This window comes from Homo sapiens, chromosome 8 (assembly GCF_000001405.40).
Source record: "Homo sapiens chromosome 8, GRCh38.p14 Primary Assembly".
Taxonomy (NCBI): Eukaryota; Metazoa; Chordata; class Mammalia; order Primates; family Hominidae; genus Homo; species Homo sapiens.
Genome location: NC_000008.11, coordinates 142,951,241 through 142,954,102, shown reverse-complemented (window position 1 = coordinate 142,954,102; position 2,862 = coordinate 142,951,241). Strand labels below are relative to the sequence as shown.

Genomic DNA, 2,862 nt, shown 5'->3' with positions numbered 1-2,862 from the left:
TGCTGCTATAAAGCAAATCCCAATTACAAACCATTGGGACCGCACAGGGGGAGGTCGTGGGAAGCACAAACAAACTTTGCCTACACCCTCTGGTAGCATAAACGTCACAAGGTGATATGTGGCAGAGTTAACCAACAAACACCCCAGGGTCTCTCTCCCCCATATCATAAGCTCAGGGCTGCCTCGTCTGTCTGTAATGGAGCAGCCGGCAGGTTCAATAAACTTACTTGCCTGAACTTGGGTCTCTCTCTCTCTTGTCCTTTCTCTCGGCTGACCTTACATATTCGTGTGCAAGAATTAAGGGAACTACACACTTGAGGTAAGGGCGTTGCAGGCACCATCTGCTCAGGTGTTATGCTTCACTTTTAAGTGGCGAAAAACACAAACTGGGGCAGCAAAAACAACGCATTCAAAACATGCATAAAGACAGAGAGAAGCCGGGTCCTCGAGGGCCCCGGATGTGTGACTGAAGACAACGGCATCTGGTGCTCATGACTGATGGGAAGGGCCTTTGCAGCTGAGCATGGCAGCCAAGTGGCCAGAGGTGCCCTGCAGCCTGGGATGGGAGGGGAGTGGGTGGGGTAGGCAAGGAGACCAGGGTAGACTGGGACCTGGTCCGAACAGAGATGGAGGGGCCTGAGCCTGGGCAGAGGCAGCAGGGGTGGGGAGGGGACAGGTGGGTCATGAGGTGGATTCAGGGCCGGCACATCCCCTGTAGCCTGTGGGGCTGTGGCACCAGAGGGTCTTGGCTGACAGTCGGGTCCATGGCGAGGTGCCGAGGGCATGCGGCTTGGAGCAGGAGAAAATTATAGCTGCTTTGGTTGAAGGTGGTTGGGCAACACCCTGGAGGGAATGATCCTGGGACACATCTTGGGAGGGAGAGTTGGAGGCCAAGATGGCGGAGGGAAGCGACAAGGGACTGGGGGTGACAGGAAGGGGAGGGGCTTAGCAGGGGATGCAGGGAGAGTGAGAAGCGAGGGAAGGAGAGGTGAGGAGAGAAGAGACAGAGCAGGCAGGCAGGGAAGAAAAAGAGAGGAACGTCTATAGGAGGACTTAGGGTACAATCATATCATAGTAATTAACACGTCTCTAGCACTGACTGAGCCAGGCTTTGTTCTAAGGGCTTTATAAATATCTCGTTGTTCCTCACAACGAGCATCAAAATAGAGACGCTGTCATTTTGCAGATGAGGAAACAGAGGCAGAGAAAGCACATAGACAGCGAGTGCCTGTGCCGGGGCTGGAGCACTGGCTGGTGCCCCATCATTCTGCTTTTCAGCCTCTGCATGCCCTTCCACTTCTAGGCAATGGGACCGGACTGTGGAGAAGATGGTTAGAGCTCTAGGAAGCTCAGGGGTGTCTGGATGGGCGACTGGGAGTAGAGGGGAACCTGGGGGATGGTGGCTCCCAGGGGAGAGACAGAGAAGAGCTTCCTAACTGTGCAGGAGAAGCTGAGGCATGGGGTGTGCTGCCGCGGCTTCAGGGCCCTTGGGCAGTCGTCTCATGGCTGCCTCTCACTCTCCACCCCCAGCCACCCCCTCAGCCACAGGGAAAGGGACGGATCCTACTGCCCGTGTCAACGGCCCCACTGCCTGGCCTGACTCTTCTATGGCATCGCCAGGGTCCAGAGTCCCCTGAGTGTGTGCTCACAGCCAGGTGCATGGCTGGGAGCCTGAGAAATAAGGTAGGGTGCAGCCAGGGCTACTGAGCTCAAGGCCCAGCTGGCCCTGTGGAGAGGCTGTGACTCACCAGCCGCTGGGGTGACTCAGGGGCCAAGGCTGTGCATTGCCATCACCACCACGAAAACTCTGACGCTGCTTGGCCATGCTGTTGGAAGACTCCAGTGCATCAGGCTGAAAGCACTCACCCGTAGGGTGCATGTGTGGGGCCTGAGAGCCTTGGATGGGCTGGGCCAGAGCCTGTGGTCCAGGGGAGGAGGCAGAAACCTGCCCAGATCATGATGCTGCAACACCATGATCTGAGCCAAGTGCTGGGAACATGGAGCAGCTGCTGGCCCAGCCTGGAAAAGGGGAGGTCCAGGAAGACAACCCACCCTCACCTTCCCACCACCAAGGGGGTCAGTGAGAATGTGGCCCTTGACATCCTCAAAATAAACCTGAGCCAGACAGAGAGCTTGAGCTCTGATGATGAAAATGGTAAACACTTACCTAGTGCGTGCCAGGCACCAGGTACAACTTTAAAGGATTTGTGTGTATTAAACCTGCCTGATCCTCCCCCATACCTTATGAGGTAGGTGCTATTATGAGGCCCAAATTACAGATAAGGACGTTGAGGCACAGGGAAGTTAAATAGCTTTCCCAAGGTCACACAGCTAGCAAGTGGCAGAGCTGGGATTAGAACCAGTACTCTGGATTTGGGTTTTCATCTCTAGTCACAGAGCAAAGGGATGATGACCTCAAAGCATGCAGTGTGACTAGAGTTTGACCTTCTTTAGTGGGAAATGGAGCACCAGGGAAGGCTTTGAGCCAAGAGTGGCATGAGCGAGTGTGGCTTGGAGGGTCAGCGTCTGCAGCAGGGGAAATGGTGGTGCAGTGCAATGGAAGTAGCTGGCATCACTGGCTGGGGCAAAGCCTGCATTGAGATGAGGCAGCAGGAACAGAGCATACAGGGGTGATTCTGGGTGGGCAGAACTTGAGAGACCAACTGGATGTAGAGAGAAGGAGATAAGGAATCAAAGGGGTGCAGGGATGTTTGGCTAATTTGGGTGTTCTTCTTAATACATGATGTGGGGATGCAGGTTTTGGTAAGGAAAGCCTCAGGGCAAAGAGAGCAGCTAAGCGGCCAAGTCTTTGGGACATACAGGGGGCATAAGTAGTCTTCAAAAAGAGTCGGGGAAAGGTGA

At 54.8% G+C, this 2,862-nt stretch overlaps 1 annotated feature.

The window, feature by feature from the left end:
- Positions 1,188–1,759: an enhancer, noted in NCBI's record as "H3K4me1 hESC enhancer chr8:144033761-144034332 (GRCh37/hg19 assembly coordinates)". NCBI's record gives its function as "activates a minimal SCP1, AML or CMV promoter by ChIP-STARR-seq in naive H9 embryonic stem cells {active_cell/tissue: H9 hESC(naive)}" and the evidence as "EXISTENCE:reporter gene assay evidence [ECO:0000049][PMID:30033119]".